This window comes from Homo sapiens, chromosome 3 (assembly GCF_000001405.40).
Source record: "Homo sapiens chromosome 3, GRCh38.p14 Primary Assembly".
Classification (NCBI taxonomy): domain Eukaryota; kingdom Metazoa; phylum Chordata; class Mammalia; order Primates; family Hominidae; genus Homo; species Homo sapiens.
Genome location: NC_000003.12, coordinates 185,938,639 through 185,957,686, shown reverse-complemented (window position 1 = coordinate 185,957,686; position 19,048 = coordinate 185,938,639). Strand labels below are relative to the sequence as shown.

Genomic DNA, 19,048 nt, shown 5'->3' with positions numbered 1-19,048 from the left:
GGGCTAAAAAAATGACTCTGCCAACTGGATGGGGAATGGTGAGCAGGAGCAGGGGTCACGGGGAATGACTTCAGAGTTGGACTGGTTGGAATTGAAACTACATCTTGGGAGGTGAGGAGGTGAAGAATACAAGTGCAGATGCCTCCTTTGAAGAGCCCTGCCATGAAGGAAGGACAAGTGAACTGTGGTTACAAGATAAAGTGGAATTTTTTTTTGAGACGGAGTCTTGCTCTGTTGCCCGGGCTGGAGTGCAGTGGCATGATCTCAGCTCACTGCAACCCTGCCCCCTGGGTTCAAGTGATTCTCCCACCTCAACCTCCCGAGTAGCTAGGACTACAGGCATGCACCACCATTCCCAGCTAATTTTTGTATTTTTTGTAGAGACGGGGTTTTGCCACGTTGCCCAGGCTGGTCTCAAACTTCTGAGATCAAGTGATCCTCCTGCCTCAGCCTCCCGAAGTGCTGGGATTACAAATGTGAGCCACCAGGCCTGGCCCTGTAATTATTTTAATAGGAAAGATATGAACATGTTTCTGAATTCTGCCTCCACGCCCTTCAGCTTTCTCAGGAACCTAACTCCACCAATCATATATTCATAATAGCATATGAATGGAATTGAAAATAGCAGTTGAGGCCAGGCGCGGTGGTTCACGCCTTTAATCCCAGCACTTTGGGAGTCCGAGGCGGGCGGATCACAAGGTCAGGAGATTGAGACCATCCTGGCTAACACGGTGAAACCCTGTCTCTACCAAAAATAAAAAGAAATTAACCGTGCATGGTGGCGGACGCCTGTAGTCCCAGCTACTCGGGAGGCTGAGGCAGGAGAATGACATGAACCCAGGAGGTGGAGCTGGCAGTGAGCCCAGATCGCGCCACTGCACTCCAGCCTGGGTGACAGAGCGAGACTCCGTCTCAAAAAAAAAAAAAAGAAAATAGCAGTTGAAATAGAATGGCATATGAATGGACTATAATAGCATATGGATGGAAACTGAAAATAGCGGTTACCTAAATGATACCTCAGCTTTGTTGCCAAACAGAAATGAATACAGACCCAAAACAGGGGCAAATCATGGATCTACAGCCCCTCTGCCCTTTACCTGTCCCTCTACTCTTTCATTTACATCTCCTGCTCCTGCCCGATTATTCTCCCAAGAGGAAGCAATTCTAAGTTCCCTCCTCCACAATTGTAAACCGCAATGAAACTGAGAGGTAAATTCTGGAGTTGTAAAGATTAAAAGAGTTGGTTATACACAAGTGTTCATTTCTTGAGGGCAAAGTTGCAGTGGCTGGCCTGGACAAGCTACATCCAGAGGGCCCAGGTAAGTGGGAAACTGTATGTTCTCATTTCCAAGATGAAGATACTAATGGAATAAAGCGAGATATGTCACAAGAAAGATATATAGTGCCTCTGCTACCCTAAACTACAAGTCCCACACTAACCATACAGGGAATTTTCAGTCCCATTCAAAGCAGAGGCGCAAAAGAGACAAAGATTTACATCCAAGGTAGTTTATCCACAGCATTATTTGTATTGACAAGAACTGCAGATAAGCTAAATATCAACCATTAGGGGGTTAGTTAAATAAATTGTGGTAGAGCCATAAGACAGAATGATAGAGATCTCCATTAAAAATTACATTTTGCAGGAATTTTTATAAAGTGAGAAATGCTCACAATGCAAAGTCATACAGAATCAATGACATAGGAGTTAAAAAGAAATTACTTAGGCAGATAGTGAGGATAAGGAAGTCCTTAGTAATGTTTTCCCTTTAATGAAAAGCAGCCCCAACATCATTTTCTTCTCTAACAAAGAGCAGCCTGTAAAATCAAGCTGCAGACATAGACAAGCAAGCTGGAAACTTGCACAGGTGAATGTCGCCAGTCGTGCCAATAGGAAAAGGCTACCTGGGACTACGCATGATCAAAATGGCAGATCCATCTTCCCTTCTCTTTGCCAGCCATGCATACAGCAAGGAGCAGACAAGATGGCACTGGCCAAGTGGAAAGCCCATTTGCATAATAAGATTAGGGTGGGATGACCAGCCTTCCCCACAAGCTAGGTAAATGTCACACCTGGTCAAACCAATCTGTGGGCCCTACATAAATCATACATTGCCTCCTCAAGCCTACCTGTAAAATCTGCTATGGTCCACCGCAGGCCAGCTTTTCCCTTTCAGACGCCCCTCTGTCTGGTAAGAGAGAGGAAACTGCTCTCCTTTCTCTTTTTTTTGCCTATTAAACCTCTACTCCTAAACTGACTCCTTGCGTGTGTCCATGTCTTTAATCTTGGTGCGAGACAACAAATCCCAGCTATTTACCCCAGACAATGAAGCCGCTACATCAGCAGTATAGAGAACTTCATATATAATGTGATTCAAGGATGTAAAGGAAAAAAAATCTGTACATGCACACACACACACATGAACATGTACACACATACATATTACCTAAGAGTAATCGAGTGGTTTTATGCAATACATTGGTGGTACAGCCAAAGGACTGGGTGGCATGACATGACATGACTGTTGTCACATCTTGATTACAGCATGATATGATGAGCTGCACATCTTAAAGGCTGACTGAAAAAAAAAAAAATCAAAAGTCTACAAGGACATGACCACACTACTTATGGTAGCCAAAAGTTGGAAGCAACCCAAACGTCCAATTCTAAGGATTAGAAGGGTAAAGTGTGGCATAGTCAAACAATGACATACCATACAGCAAAAAGAATAAATTAACTTTAGCAACACGCAACAACCTGGAAGAATCTCACAAATATAATGTTGAGCAAAAAAAAGTAAAGGAGTGTATAGCACATGATTCAATTTCTATAAAACTCAACCACAGGAAAAACTAATCCACAGCGTAGACATCAGAATAATGGATACTTTGATGGAAAGTTACTGAAAGACGCTTAATGGGAACTTCAGAAGGACTAGTAATGTTCTATTTCTTAATCTGGGTATTGACTGCATGAGTGCATTCATTTTGTAAAAATTTATTCAGCTTTACAGTTAAGATGTATGTAATTTTCTATATGTATCTTCAACTTCAGTAAAAAGTTTATTTTTGAAATAATCTGTAAGGAAAAATGAGACGTATAAGTGACTCAACAAGAAAAGCTAAAATGAGCAAGCACCAGTCTATAAACATTTACACTGCGAGCAAGAAGCTGTGGCTTTTTACCTAGGCTAATCTCTACCAGGACAAACCCACTAAACTTACAAACCATTAAAAAAAAAAAGCACTGTGCTCGCAGAGCATCATCAATGATGCCCTTTTTTTTTTTTTTTCCTTTTTTAAGTTTGACAGTTTGTTGAGCTGAGGTCAAGGTGTTTATTTAGGGTCCCTTTGATGAAAGAAGTCTGCTTTTGGGCCGGGCGCCGTGGCTCACGCCTGTAATCCCAGCACTTTGGGAGGCCGAGGCAGGCGGATCACGAGGTCAGGAGATCAAGACCATCCTGGCTAAGACAGTGAAACCCCATCTCTACTAAAAATACAAAAAATTAGCCGGGCGTGGTGGCGGGCGCCTGTAGTCCCAGCTACTCGGGAGGCTGAGGCAGGAGAATGGCGTGAACCCGGGAGGCGGAGCTTGCAGTGAGCCGAGATCGCGCCACTGTACTCCAGCCTGGGCGACAGAGCGAAACTCCGTCTCAAAAAAAAAAAAAAAAAAAAAGTCTGCTTTTGGGGTCTGTCCAATGAAGAAAATGAGCAGGATTCTCGACTCCTAACATTCAGCTGTATAATCGTTTGCCTACGTTTATCTCTTACTTCCAAGTATAATTAGCTCAGCCCAGCTTACTCTGAACTGGAAGGCTGTATATCATAAAGATTAAAGCTTCTGAGCATGACAGTCCTGGGTTTAATGTTTAACACCAAGTTCTGCCACCTACAGGCTGTGACCTTGGGCAAGTTTTACTATTCCTCCCAGCTTCAATGTCCTCATCTATGTAAAATGGGTGTAATAATGGTATTTACCTCATATAGTTGTAGTGAGGATTCAATAAAATTAAACCACTTAATCTATGTGACACATTCAAAAGAAATTAACTGCTGTTATTTCTCAACACATTTTTTTCACTATCAGCCTAGTTTGCTACCCCAACCAGCCTCTCACACTTTATCTTCTCCCACCTCCTGCCTAAAATGGTAGTGCTCAAAAAACAACAATTCATTTATAAAGAGAAATAAGGCCAGACGTGGTGGCTGTCACCCGTAACCCCAGCACTTTGGGAGGCTGAGGCGGGCAGATTGCTTGAGCCCAGGAGTTCGAGACCGTCCTGGGCAATATGATGCAATCCTATCTCTACAAAAAAATGCAGAAAAATTAGCCAGGTATGGTGGCTTGCACCTATAGTCCCAGGGAAGTGGGAGAGTTCCCTGATTTCCCCTTGCAGGATGTGCGACAGGGATGCAACTTGCCTGTTCCGTCACCTTGCAGCTCAAATCCCTAGGGGGAGCATGCAAACAGGCAGGTGCAGAGGCCAGGGCAAGTGCTTTGGGCTCTCAGCCCTGCAGTAGTGTCTAGGGGTGGGTGCCTGCAACTCCAGTGTTACCAAGTTCTTTCAGCTTTGCTGTCTGCAGACGGCTTGAGTGTTAATCAGCTCTTAACACAAGGGCAGAGGGCCAGTGTAACAGACTTCCATATCCCGAGCTCTTGCCCAGTGTTCCAGAAAAATCGAATCACACACAGGCTCCAAGGATGAGTGCAAGGTTTTGTTTGTTTGTGTGTGTGTTTGTTTGAGGTGGAATCTCACTCTGTCACCCAGGCTGGAGTGCAGTGGCGCAATCTCGGCTCACCGCAACCTCCGCCACCCGGGTTCAAGTGATTCTCCTGCCTCAGCCTCCCAAGTAGCTGAGATTACAGGTGCCTGCCACCAAGCCAGGCTAATTTTTGTATTTTTAGTAGAGACGGGGTTTCACCATATTGGCCAAGCTGGTCTCAAACTCCTGATCTCAGGTGATCTGCCCACCTCGGCCTCCCAAAGTCCTGGGATTACTGGCATGTGTCACTGTGCCCAGCTGCGTGCAAGGTTTAATTGAGTGGTGGAGGTGGCTCTCAGCAAGATGAGTGGGGAGCTGAAAGGGGGGATGGAGTGGGAAAGTGATCTTCCCAGCAGCTGGCCTCTTCCAGCAGCTGGCTTCTTCTCCAACGGCCCCTGGCCAAACTCCCCTCGGCATCCAGATGTCCCGCCTCTTCTCCCTTTCTCTGCCTGGTTGTTCTGCTGTTGCTGGTCTGCTGGTCTGCTGCTCTGCTGCTCTGCCGGTCTCCTCTGGAGCCTGAGGTTTGGGGTTTCTATTGGGGCAGGATAGGGGACCTGGCAGGCTAAAAGGCAAATTCTGGGACACAAAAACAGAAATGCCTGTTCTCATTTAGGGCTGCAGGTATCCAGGCTTGAGGATAGGGCCTTTGCCAGGGAGCCGCCCTCTTCTACCCAGTATTTCCTTGTCTCCTGCCCATATCACCAGCTACTTGGGAGGATAGGTGGGAGGAATGCTTGTGCCTGGGAGGCTGAGGTTGCAGTGAGCCGTGATCATGCACTGTACTCAGCCTGGGCAACAGTGCAAGACCTTGTCTCAAAAAAAAAAAAAAAATCACAATTCTAAATAAAGACAAGCTCCAAGAGGGCCACAACCTATGCATCCATCAGTGGATGAATAGATTTTTTTTAATGTGGTATATATACACAACGGAATACTAATCAGCCATAAAAAATAATAAAATCATGTCATTTGCAGCAACATGAATGGAACTGGAGATCCAGTTCCTTATATTAAGTGAAATAAGCAGGCATAGAAAGACATGCCTGGGAGGCGGAGGTTGGAGTGAGCTGAGATCACGCCACTATACTCCAGTCTAGGTGAAAGAGTGAGACCGTGTTTAAAAAAAAAAAGTTATTCTCATTCTCATGAAGGTAGAGAGTAGTGGTTATCAGAGGTGAGGAAGAGATGAGGGGGCTGAAGACAAGTTGGTTAAGGGATAACAAAATATAGTTAGATAAAAGGAGTAAGTTCTAGTATTCGATACAGTACAGTAGGAAAATTATAGTTAATAATAATTTATTGTATATTTCAAAATAACTAGAAGAGATGTGAAATGTTCCCAGCACAAAGGAAAGATAAATGATTGAGGTGATGGCTATCCCAATTGCCCTAATTTGATCATTACATATTGTATGCAATTATCAAAATACCATATGATCCCCAAAATATGTACAACTATTATATATCAATAAAAAAAGAAAAAGAAAATCAAAATTTTACATTTTTTGAGGAACTCAATAAACATCTCTACAATTTATTTAAAAGAATAAAGTTTCATAAATAACTAAGTCAATCTTTTAAAAAATATAAAGAAAGTGTATTGGCGTTAAGACAGAAAAACAGTACCCTCCCTATATGGGAGATATATATTAAGAGAATTATTCCAAGAAATTGGCTCACAGAATTTGTGTGGGTTTCCCCCAACAAGTCTGAAATCCATACAGCAGGGTATCAGGACAGGCAGGCTGGGATTCTCAGGGACAGGACTCTGCAGTCCACAGGACTAATTTTTTCTTCCTTAGGGAAGCCCCACCTCTGCTCTTTAGATCTTTAAACTGATTGAATTAGGCACACCCAGTTTATCTAGGACAAGTTCCCTCACTTAAATTTAACAGAGTAATGGATTTTAATCACATCTACAAAATACCTTCCTGGCAACACCTAGATTCATTTTCATTGAACAACTAACCAAACTGACGCATCAAAAAGATAATTGCAAAGGGAGGCTCGTCTTACCAGTTTTAATGACACGCCCATAAAGCCTTAGTAATAAAATGTTTTAAGCAATATTGTTGCAGGCACAGTCAAGTAGACAAATGGAAGAGTAGAGAGCTTAGAAATAGACATGTGCATATATGGAAATATACAATAAAAGTAGCACCACAGAGGAGCCAAGGACAAGTTATTTCATACCCAATGTTGGGAAAACTGGTGATATCTATATGGAGAAAAATAATACGATCTATATCTTATACCAAACAAAATTTCCTAGTACACTGGTAGCCAGTTTAAGACTTAATAGAAGGTCGGGCGCGGTGGCTCAGGCCTGTAATCTCAGCACTTTGGGAGGCGGAGGCGGGCGGATCAGGAGTTCAGGAGATCGAGACCATCCTGGCTAACACTGTGAAACCCCGTTTCTACTAAAAAATACAAAAATAAATAGCTGGGCGTGGTGCCGGGGGCCTGTAGTCCCAGCTACTCGGGAGGCTGGGGCAGGAGAATGGCATGAACCCAGGAGGCGGAGCTTGCAGTGAGCCGAGATCGCGCCACTGCACCGCAGCCTGGGCGACAGAGCGAGACTCCGTCTCAAAAAAAAAGACTTAATTGAGAGGAGCTACAACAAAAGTACCTAAAAAAAAAAAATCCTTAATAGAGAGGGTATTTTCATGCACGTCCCTGTGAAGAGACCACCAAACAGGCTTTGTGTGAGCAACATGGCTGTTTATTTCACCTGGGTGCAGGCGGGCTGTGTCCGAAAAGAGAGTCAGTGAAGGGAGATAGGGGTGGGGCCGTTTTATAATATTTGGGCAGGCAAAGGAAAATTACAGTCAAAGGAGGTTTGTTCTCTGGCGGGCAGGAGTGGGGGTCTCAAGGTGCTCAGTGGGGGAGCTTTTTGAGCCAGGATGAGCCAGGAAAAGGATTTTCACAAGGTAATGTCATCACTTAAGGCAAGGACCGGCCATTTTCACTTCTTTTGTGGTGGAATGTCATCAGTTAAGGTGGGGCAGGGCATATTCACTTCTTTTGTGATTCTTCAGTTACTTCAGGCCATCTGGGCGTATACGTGCAAGTCACGGGGGATGCGATGGCTTGGCTTGGGCTCAGAGGCCTGACAGGTATCAAATAGAAGAACAATATCAGCACAGTCTCCGTTAAGACACTTAGAAGTAAGCCACGCAGTCTGAATTAGAGCCCCCAATTCCCAGGGTAGTGGCAGGCAGTGGTAGAGAAGTGCCAAAAGGAGAAAGCAAGCATCTCTCTAAGGACTCCCTAGACTAATCAGGAAGGGTTGGGCTGACTGGGGATGGGAGGCAGGGTTTTAACTAGTTCAGCATTGAAAACTCTTTTATAACTGGTCATGTGACCTTTAACCTTGTCATACTGCTGTTGTCTGTGAATATCTGTGTTACTTTTTTTTTTTTTTTTTTTGAGACAGAGTCTCGCTCTGTCAGCCAGGCTGGAGTGCAGTGGCACGATCTCAGCTCACTGCAACCTCCGTCTCCTTGGCTCAAGCAATTCTCCTGCCTCAGTCTCCCGAGTAGCTGGGATTACAGGCGTGGGCCACCACACCCGGCTAATTTTTGTATTTTTAGTAGAGATGGGGTTTCACTATGTTGGTCAGGCTGGTCTCGAACTCCTGACCTCAGGTAATCCGCCTGCCTTGACCTCCCAAAGTGCTGGGATTACAGGCATGAGCCACTGCACCTGGCCTTTTTTTTTTTTCAGTGTAGAGATGGGGTTTCCCACTGTTGTCCAGGCTGGTCTTGAACTCTTGGGCTCAAGTGATCCTCCATCCCTGATTGTTCAAAGTGCTGGGATTACAGGTATGAACCACTGTGCCCGGCCTGTGTTACATTTTTTTTAAAAACTCAGTCCACTCTTTGGGTTTTCTTTTAATGGTGTTGGCCCCATAAATATTCTATCTTAAGCAAAAAAGTTGCTTAAGGAATCTATCTTAAGCAAAAAAGTTCTGGCGAGGACAATATTAACATTAAGACATTCCATTTGACCATAGAAAATCAGTAAAAGACAATGTCTTATATCAAATTTGTCATCCTCTTTCTCTTCTGTTCAGTTCAGAAAATTCGTTCCTGCACTGAACCTTGTTTTCTGTGGTTTCTCCAGTGTTTTCGAAGTGAGAACTTCCCAACTGCTGTCAAATGTTTAAAAGAAATCACTTTTTAAAACCTAGAGGAAAATGTAAGGATACATGTCATCTCAGAGTGAGAAAAGACATTCTAAGCCTAAATGTAATAAAATTTTAACAAAGAATATTTGTAGGTCTGAGTACAGAAAAATTTTAAACTTCTTGTGGCTGACACAAATCGGAATAGCTGCTCAGCTCACAATGATTTCTTACTAACTGTATTTGTGTCACTGTTTATTCCAGTAATAGACCTGCCTCCAAGGAAGAGGGGTAGACACATGACCCCGCTTAGCCAATCATAGTACCTTTCCCTTCCTACTTCCTATTCATTTTTTTCATGCATTCATTCATTCCACAACCGTTTATTGAATGGAAATTCAGCAATAAGCAAAAGATTCCTACCTTCCTGAAGCTTAGAGTTTTGGGGGAATAAGCATTAATTGAACAATTCCATTAGTAAATATATAATTTCAAGTAGAAAGAAGTGGCTCAGAAGATCACAAGTCTATGAGAACATCTATCAAAAAAATCAGACATATTATTGGAGGCAAGAGGAAGGCAGTCAATACTGAGGGGTGTCACTGGAGATGAAAGATGAAGAATGGGTAGGAATCAACCAGGTGAAGGAGATAGTGTGGGTGGAGAGAGCACAGCAGGCAGGGAGAACCACAGCCATCATCATTTCATGGTAAAAGCAGTAAGGGATTAGCGGAGATGATCCATGTCACTTGTAAAAGAAATGCAAATTAAAACTACAAAATGCTATTTTTCACCTATTAAAAAACTTTTTAGTTATGATGGCAATGGTGTAGTGAACAGTCATTGCTACTAGGAGTGTAAATTAATGCAACTTTTCTGGAAAGTAAGTTGACAATATGTTTCAAAAGTCCTAAAAAAGATGATACTTGTTGACAAAGTATTTTCTCTAAGTATTCTTCTTTTAGGAATCTATCTTAAGCAAAAAAGTTTAAAACTCAGATATAAATTTATATACAAAAATACTCAATTTTGTTATTTAAAATGTTGAAAAACTAGAAAAAACAAAGAAAATGATTAAATAAATTATGTACAGCCATATGGTAGAATATTATGCAGCCAGTATTATACATGCAAGATATAACATCACTTTCATAATCAGGACAAAAAAGCCAATTACAACATTCCATTGCCAACAAAAAAATTCAGTGCTCAGTGTATAATTAGTCACTTAATTACTCCATGTTAAATAAAAATTCATGGATGAAAGCAAATATGATTTATAACTTCCAAATGTATAATAAGATTTTAAAGAATATCCAGTTTTATATTTGTATATTCAACTGCCTACTTGACAACTTCTACTTTGATGTTTCAAAGCATCTCAAACTTAATTCAAAATCAAACTCTTGTCCCTTTAGCCCTGCCCAAACTCCTTCTTCCTCAAGTTTCCCCATCTCAGTATGGGGCACCATAGACCCTCTTGAGTTCTTGACATCTCCATCCCCTTACCCTATTACAAGTCCACTCAATTCTGGACTCAAAATAGATCTACCACTGCCCTTTTTTCTCTATCTCCTTTGCTATTACTGTGTTGCAATGGTCTCTTACCTGGACAAATGCAATAGCTTCCTAACTGGTATCCTAGCTTTTACCTCCTTCCAACCCATTCTCCATCCAATGGGGAATGTAATCTTATAAAAATAAAAACTGAGTCAAGACATTCCCCCTAATTAAAACATTTCGATAGCTTCCCATTGCATTTATTTAATTATTTATTTATTTTTGAGGCAAAGTCTCACTCTATTGCCCAGGCTGGAGTGCAGTGGCACGATCTTGGCTAACTGCAACCTCTGCCTCCCGGGTTCAAGAGATTCTCCTGCCTCAGCTTTCCGAGTAGCTGGGGTTACAGGTGCCTGCCACCACGCCTGGCTAATTTTTGTATTTTTTTAATAGAGGCGGGGTTTCGCCATGTTGGCCAGGCTGGTCTCGAACTCCTGACTTCAAGTGACCCATCCACCTGCCTTGGCCTCCCAAAGTGCTGGAATTACAGGTGTGAACCACCGTGCCCAGCCCCCACTGCACTTAAATAACATCTGACATCCTTTCCATGACCTGCATAATCACTGCTGACTTATTATGAGTTAGACATTGTTCTAAGGGCTTTTTATGTAAAATAGTAATTCTTTGGATCCTGACAACAAGCATAGGAAGTAGGTATTATTATCATTCCTATTTCACAGATGAAGCCACAGAGGCACAGAGGTTACACTTGCCCAGGGTCTCTCAGAGAGCTACTGTGGAGGCAGGAAACAACCCCAGGAAGTCCAAGCCCTGCTCTCTGTACCACAGTCTCTGGTCCTCAGATGGACCCACTGGGATCCCATGGTTGGGTCTCTCTGTTCCTGGAACCCGACAAACATCCTCACCCCAGTGCCTTTGTGACCTTGCTAATCCCTTCCCAGGAACACAGTTTTCTCTGCTTTTTAAATGGCTGGCTTCTCACCCTCCAGGTCTCCATAAATAGGAATGGTATAATAGGTTATGGCACATATTTGCAACGGAATACCATACAACTGTTTTAAAATATGAGATAAATCTATGTGTACTGACGTGGAACAATATTTAGCATATTTTAGATTGCTAAGTGAAAAAGGCAAGTTACAGAATACCATGTTAAAATTTAAAAATATGAGCGGGGCATGGTGGCTCATGCCTGCAATCCCAGCACTTTGGGATGCTGAGGCGGGTGGGTCACCTGAAGTCAGGAGTTCGAGACAACAGCCTGAGCAACAGAGTGAGACTCTGTCTCAAAAAAATAATAAATAAAAATTAAAAAATAAAAAATATGTATAGCATGATTCCATTTGTTTATGAAAAGAAAATTTTAAGGCTGGGCTCAGTGGCTCATGCCTGTAATCCCAGCACTTTGGGAGGCCGAGGCGGGTGGATCGTGAGGTCAGGAGATCGAGACCATCCTGGCTAGCATGGTGAAACCCCATCTCTACCAAAAATACAAAAAATTAGCCGGGTGTGGTGGCAGGCACCTGTAGTCCCAGCTACTTGGGAGGCTGAGGCAGGAGAATGGCATGAACCCGGGAGGCGGAGCTTGCAGTGAGCCGAGATCTTGCCACTGCACTCCAGCCTGGGAGACAGCAAGACTCCGTCTCAAAATAAATAAATAAATAATAAAAAAATAAAAATAAAAATTTAAATTTATCTATCTAAGGTCTAGAAGGTTATGCACTACATTTTTTAACTAGGGTGACCTCTGAGGAGCGAGACTGGGAAAGAGAGGATAGAAAATAGGGTTTGCATTTTTCACTTTGCACATTTCTTATTGTTTGAATTTTTATCCCCACCCTATATTAGTAACATAATAATAATTCTAAGACAAAACATTTTCTTCATATGTTTAATGTTTGAGCTCTAAATTTTGTTATTTGGGTATTCTAATTTTTATTCTCTTCCTCTCTTTCCCAGATTTATCTTAAGTATCTGGAGAAAGTCTTTTATTTCATTCTTCTCTCTCTCTCTTTTTTTTTTTATTTTTTTGAGAAGGAGTCTTGCTTTGTCGCCCAGGCCGGACTGCAGTGGCGCTATCTCGGCTCACTGCAAGCTCCGCCTCCCGGGTTCATGCCATTCTCCTGCCTCAGCCTCCTGAGTAGCTGGGATTACAGGTGCCCGCCACGGCGCCCGGCTAATTTTTTGTATTTTTAGTAGAGACGGGGTTTCACCGAGTTAGCCAAGATGGTCTCGATCTCCTGACCTCATGATCCGCCCACCTCGGCCTCCCAAAGTGCTGGGATTACAGGTGTGAGCCACCGCACCCGGCCTCTCTCTCTTTTTTTTTTTTTTTTTTTTTTTTTTTGAGACAGAGTTTCACTCTTGTCACCCAGGCCGGAGTGTAATGGTACGATGTCTGCTCACTGCAACCTCTGCCTCCCAGGTTCAAGTGATTCTCATGCCTTGGCCTCCCGAGTAGCTGGGATTACAGGCATGCACCACCACGCCCGGCTAATTTTTGTATTTTTTAGTAAAGACAGTGTTTCACAATGTTAGCCAGACTGGTCTCGAACTCCTGACCTTAGGTGATCCACCTTTTTTAGGGTTCAGAACATTGAAAGTGATTGGTTGTTTCAACTCAATTATCTACAATACGTAGCCATAGTCAGCATAGTAACTCAATGTTGTTCTTAATTTCCACTCAGTCCTAAGCTGGTTCGTGAAGACCTGCCTTAATGAAGTCTCAAAGTTTTTGACTTCCACATTCATACTTCCAAGTAGTGAGTGGGTGTTCAGTCACTTTTTATACAGAGATGCATTAGTTCTCTGAGAGCACTCCTACACCACTCCCTTGAAGATCTCACTTACACAAAGTAAGGTTTCCTTGACTATCTCTATACTAGTAATTTCATTTCCGTATATTCCACCCAGCTATCCCCTGAGCCCCAGACTGCTCTAACCAGTACTCACTTGATGTCTCCATTTGGAGATGGTACCACTGATACCATTAGCTAGGAAGAAAAATGAGGTCAGGAGGGATAAAATGATGAGCAGTTACTCTAGCTTCCGTTTCTCCTTCACCTCCACATCTCAGTAGTATTTTGAGAGACCACTCCTGGCAAAAATTCTGAATCAGTCTGTCCATTCTGAATTCTGATGTCTCCAATCAGGAGAGATCAAATACACAGTAATTTGAATAGGGGAAGTTACATATATGTAATTACTAACTATAAGTTAGTAATAGGGGTACTGAGGTAAGTGAGGATGGGGTAATGACGGATTAACTAGTAAGAAGTAAAGAGAACTCTTAATAATATGGGAATAGCAGGTACAAGGAGGAGCCCTAGCTCTAGGTCTGAGATAGAGTGCCCAAGAAGAACCTCCTTTTCCCTCAAGAGCTCAGATTCAGACTTTGGAGCGGGCACAGCCATGGATCTCTGGAACACAGAAAACTTGCCGTGATGCCACACTGGCAGAACTTCATGAAAACCTGCCCCTGGGATTTTCCAGAAACCTTTAAGGTGTCAGGGACAGTTGTTTATGGGGTGCATCTCACCTACAAAGCTATCTGATGTGGCTCCAGGAGAGGCTGCCCTCTGCTGGTTGCTGCTGGGAACTACACACTGCAGGAGCCAGACACTGAAGAAGCTGCAAATGTTACGAAACCTGGCCAGGGGTGGGAACCGGTGCTCTAGAGGCAGCTGCTGGCTACTAGGTGCTGCTGACTGCCAGGCACTGCAGGAGCCGGGAAACTAGAAACACTGTCAGCATACTACAGAAGCTCAGTGTTGGAGAGAGCTATGCTCTGCAGGAGCTGGTCCCTGGGGAAGCCTCATGTGATGCAGGAGCCTGTGGCACACACACAGGAATCAGGAAGTAAAAGCTTTCCTCCTGTAATGCCTGTCCAATTCTGACAAAGCTTCTGTGCCATCTGGGAAAGAAAAATATTGAAAGGTTCCAGATCTGTTTTCACAGAGCAGGCAAAAAGTATGAATTGGGAGCAACTAGCACAGCAAGTCATCTCCATCCTCTCTAACCTCATTGGCCACTGCCTTAGGTCAGGTTCACTCACTTGCTTGCTCTTTTTATTCCTTGTCTGGACTGTTGAAAGAGTCTAGGAACTGGGCCCCTGGCCTGGCTGCCACTGGCCCAAAGGATGACATGTGAATGTGAAAAAGGAGGCCCTTCCTTCGGGTGTACAGAGCACAATGCCCGGCTCTCAGCTCTTACTGACCCTTGCTAGGTACACCGGGCACAGCTCAGAACAGAAGCCTGGCTCCTCACCTGCTCCCGGTCTCCAATCTTCCCTGCTCATATCACTCCTCAAACCCATGCACCACACTGCCACCACTTTTCTCAAACTTAAAATTGAAAGTATAATTCACCTTTTCAGCACCCCTCAATACTTCTCTACTGCCCATTAAATAAAATCTGAACTCCTTAGCTAGGCATACATGGTCATCTGTGATCTGCTCCTTGCCTGTTATCCAGTATGTTGAATGACTAAATGAGAGAAGGCAAAACAAAACAACAACAAAAAAAACAAAAACCCCACTAAAGACAGAATGCACTAGTGAATCCCAGGGCAGAAGTTGAAAATTAAACAAGAAATGCTGGAGGAGAGAGTCTATGACTCTGGAAGGAGACAACAACAAACAAATTTGAGTGCAGCCTCTGGCTTGGCTCTAAGCTACAGGAGTAAGCCTGTTAGACAGCATTCCCTGTTGGGTGCATTATTTTCTCTGTATATATCTCCCCTACCAGGACTAGACATTTTTGTTGTTGTTGTTTTTGTTTTTTGAGATGGAGTCTCACTCTGTCATCCAGGCCGGAGTGCAGTGGTGCAATCTCGGCTCACTGAAACCTCCACTGCCCAGGTTCAAGCGATTTTCCTACCTCAGCCTCCTGAGTAGCTGGGATTACAGGTGCCTGCCACCACGCCCAGCTAATTTTTGTATTTTTAGTAGAGACGGGGTTTCACCATGTTGGCCAGGCTGGTCTCGAATTCCTGACCTCAGATGATCCACCTGCCTCAGCCTCCCAAAGTGCTGGGATTATAGATGTGAGCCACCTCACTCAGCCTAGGGCTCAAGGTTTTTACAGTCATTTCTGACTATCCCTTTCCCCATATTCCTATCACATTGGCCAGTCAAGCCCACCCTTTCATAGTCTCCCTACTCCCTGCTTAGTCCTCATTCTTGCTGCCTTGGGAATCTAATCCTCACTGCCTCATATTTACAGTACTGGATCCATATCCCACATGGCCACTCATTCAACAGCATGGCCCTGCGCTAGATGCTGGAGACACAGACATGAATGACACAAGACCTGCAGCCTGACCTTCCTATCTTTGCCAGGACAATCTTGCCTACTTTTAGCAAGTTAGTCTCCTGCTCAGGGACCTCTAAAGGCACCCTGATGCCTACCCAATCAATTCTAAATTCATACGTTGCTTTCTTTTAATCACTCAACAAGTACTACTAAAGGCTTACTGTGTGCCAAGCACTACGTATAAGGCAGTGGTCAAAAGAGGCACTGGCCCTGCCCTTAAGGAACTTATTATCTAGTGTGGAAGACAGACATAAAAACTATATTCACAGAAATAATAATGCAAATAGGGCTGAGCGCAGTGGCTAATGCCTGTAATCCCAGAACTTTGGGAGGCCAAGGCGGGCAGATCCCAAGGTCAGGAGATCGAGACCATCCTGGCTAACACAGTGAAACCCCGTCTCTACTAAAAATACAAAAATTAGCCGGGCGTGGTGGCGGGCGCCTGTAGCCCCAGCTACTCCAGAGGCTGAGGCAGGAGAATTGCTTGAACCCAGGAGGCGGAGTTTGCAGTGAGCCAAGATCGCGCCACTGCACTCCAGCCTGGGCGCCAGAGCGAGACTCTGTCTCAAAAAAAAAAAAAAAAACCCACAAAGAAATAATAATGAAAATAAAATAATTATATAATTATTATTCTTTAATTATAGTTGTGAGTAATATGAATGTCAAGGGGTGCCATAAGAATGTATAAACAAGAGATCTAATCTAAGCCAAAAAGTAAGATAAGGCCAGAGATCTGAGTAGGAGTCCAGGTTTAGGTGTGTGTTGGGAGTACAGGTGTTCTCAGAAAAAGGGGACAGCTCATTCAGAAGTTATTTAGTCACTTGACACTTGAGTCATCACCAAATCTCTGGATCTCAGGTACCTCAAATATTGATTCTGTTCTGGATGACTATTTTACCAAACAAGAGCCAAATTGCAAGCTCTTATAACTCAATAATAAAAAGATAAATAACCCAATTAAAAATGGGCAAAGTATCAGAATATTCGTTTCTCCAAAGATCTACAAATCACCAATAAACGCATGAAAGCATTATCATTATCGCTAGGGAAATGCAAACCAAAACCACATCGAGATACCACTTTAAACCCACTAGAGTGGTTATAATTTTTTTTGAGACAGATTTTTGCTCTTGTTGCCCAGGCTGGAGTACAATGGCACGATCTTGGCTCACCGCAACCTCCGCCTACCAGGTTCAAGCAATTCTCCTGCCTCAGCCTCCCGAGTAACTGGGATTACAGGCATGTACCACCACGCCCGGCTAACTTTGTATTTTTAGTAGAGACGGGGTTTCGCCATGTTGAGGCTGGTCTCAAACTCCTGACCTCAGGTGATCCGCCCACCTCAGCCTCCCAAAGTGCTGGGATTACAGGCATAAGCCACCACGCCTGGTCAATTTTTTTTAATACAATATAACAAGTATTGGTGAGGATGTGGAGAAATTGGAAGCCACATACACTGCTGGTGGCAGTGTGAAATGTAAAATGAATGCAGCCACTGTGGAAAACTGTTTGGCAGTTTCCCCCCAAATTAACCGTAGGGTTACTATACAATCCAGCAATTCCATTCCTAGGTGTATACCTAAGAGAGATAAAAACATGTGCTCGTACAAAAATTTGTACATGAATGTTCACAGCAGGATTATTCATAAGTTAAAAAATGGAAACTATCCAAATGTCTATTAAATGATGAATGGATAAATAAAATGTCATATATCCATACAACTGAATATAACTTGACAATGAAAAAGAATGAAATAGTAGTACATGCTACAACATGGATGAACCGTGAAAACGTACGCCAAGGAAGCCAGTTACAAAAGATACATACCATATGATTCCATTCATATAAAATGTCCTGAATAGGTTAATCTATTGAGAAAGAAAGATTTGTGATTGCCTAGGACTGGGAGGGTTGTGAGGAGTGGAGAGGAGGAGGGATGCAAAATGACTATTAATGAGTGTTTCTTTTCTTAATGTGATGAGACTACTCTAAAATTGTGGTGATGGTTGCACAATTCTGTGAATAAAAGCCATTTGAACTGTACACTTTAAATAAGGGAACTGCATAGTAGGTGAGTCGTATCTCAATAAAGCTGTTAAAAAAAATCAGGAGTTGGGGATATGGGGCTGAGGCAGGAGGAACACTTGAGACTGGGAGGTGCAATGAGCCACCGCACTCCAGCCTGCACGACAGAGCCAGAGAGACCCTGTCTCAAAAAAAAAAAAAAAAAATCAAATGACCCTTTACCAGTATCAAAGTGCCTCATCAGCCAGGTACCACCTTTTCAATGGATGGGGAGACTGAAGTGTAGAGGAATTAAGTATCCGACTTGGGGGTTGGGGGAAGTGGCTCACGCCTGTAATCCCAACACTTTGGGAGGCCGAGGTGGGAGGATCGCTTGAGCCCAGGAGACCAGCCTGGCCAATATGCCAAAACTCCGTCTCTATAAAAAATACAAAAAATTAGCCTGGCGTGTTGGCAGGCGCCTGTAATTCCAGCTGCTACGGAGGCTGAGGCGGAGAATCACTTGAACCCGGGAGGCAGACGTTGCAGTGAGCCGAGATCGCGCCGTTGCACTCCAGTCTGAGCGACAAAGCAAGACTCCGTCTCAAAAAAAAGAAGAAAGAAAGTATCCGACTTGGTCTTGGGCTCTTCTCACTATAATCCAACTATATTCTCTTACGAAATGGCAGAATTAATCTTCCCTCCTTGTGACACCCCTGTAGTTATACATGCCTCTGGCACTTACAATCATTTTTTCTAATTGTGTTTAACGGTTCTAGCACATTACTTTGTAACTTTAGAATAGAGATTGTGTCTGATTCCTGTGTATTAAGGTCCGACCTTTTTTATTTTTATTTATTTATTTTTTAGACAGAGTCTCGCTCTGTCGCCCAGGCTGGAGTGCAGCGGTCCGATCTCGGCTCACTGCAACCTCCGCCTCCCGGGTTCAAGCGATTCTCCTGCCTCAGCCTCCCGAGTGGCTGGGATTACAGGCATGCATCACCACTCCCGGCTAATTTTTTTGTATTTTTAGTAAAGACTGGGTTTCACCATGTTGGCCAGGCTGGTCTCGAACTCCTGACCATGTGATCCGCCTGCCTCGGCCTCTCAAAGTGCTGGGATTACAGGCGTGAGCCACCGCACCCAGCCGATCTGACCTTTTTTTTTTTTTTTTTTTTTTTTTGAGACGGAATCTCGCTCTATTGCCCAGGCTGGAGTGCAGTGGCGCGATCTCGGCTCACTGCAAGCTCCGCCTCCTGGGTTCACGCCATTCTCCTGCCTCAGCCTCCCAAGTAGCTGGGACTACAGGCGCCCGCCAC

General features: G+C 43.7%; 3 annotated features.

Annotated features, from left to right (window-relative positions):
• Positions 4,328 to 4,851: an enhancer, noted in NCBI's record as "H3K4me1 hESC enhancer chr3:185670624-185671147 (GRCh37/hg19 assembly coordinates)". NCBI's record gives its function as "activates a minimal SCP1, AML or CMV promoter by ChIP-STARR-seq in primed H9 embryonic stem cells {active_cell/tissue: H9 hESC(primed)}" and the evidence as "EXISTENCE:reporter gene assay evidence [ECO:0000049][PMID:30033119]".
• Positions 6,766 to 7,708: an enhancer, noted in NCBI's record as "NANOG-H3K27ac-H3K4me1 hESC enhancer chr3:185667767-185668709 (GRCh37/hg19 assembly coordinates)". NCBI's record gives its function as "activates a minimal SCP1, AML or CMV promoter by ChIP-STARR-seq in naive H9 embryonic stem cells {active_cell/tissue: H9 hESC(naive)}" and the evidence as "EXISTENCE:reporter gene assay evidence [ECO:0000049][PMID:30033119]".
• Positions 7,709 to 8,651: an enhancer, noted in NCBI's record as "NANOG-H3K27ac-H3K4me1 hESC enhancer chr3:185666824-185667766 (GRCh37/hg19 assembly coordinates)". NCBI's record gives its function as "activates a minimal SCP1, AML or CMV promoter by ChIP-STARR-seq in naive H9 embryonic stem cells {active_cell/tissue: H9 hESC(naive)}" and the evidence as "EXISTENCE:reporter gene assay evidence [ECO:0000049][PMID:30033119]".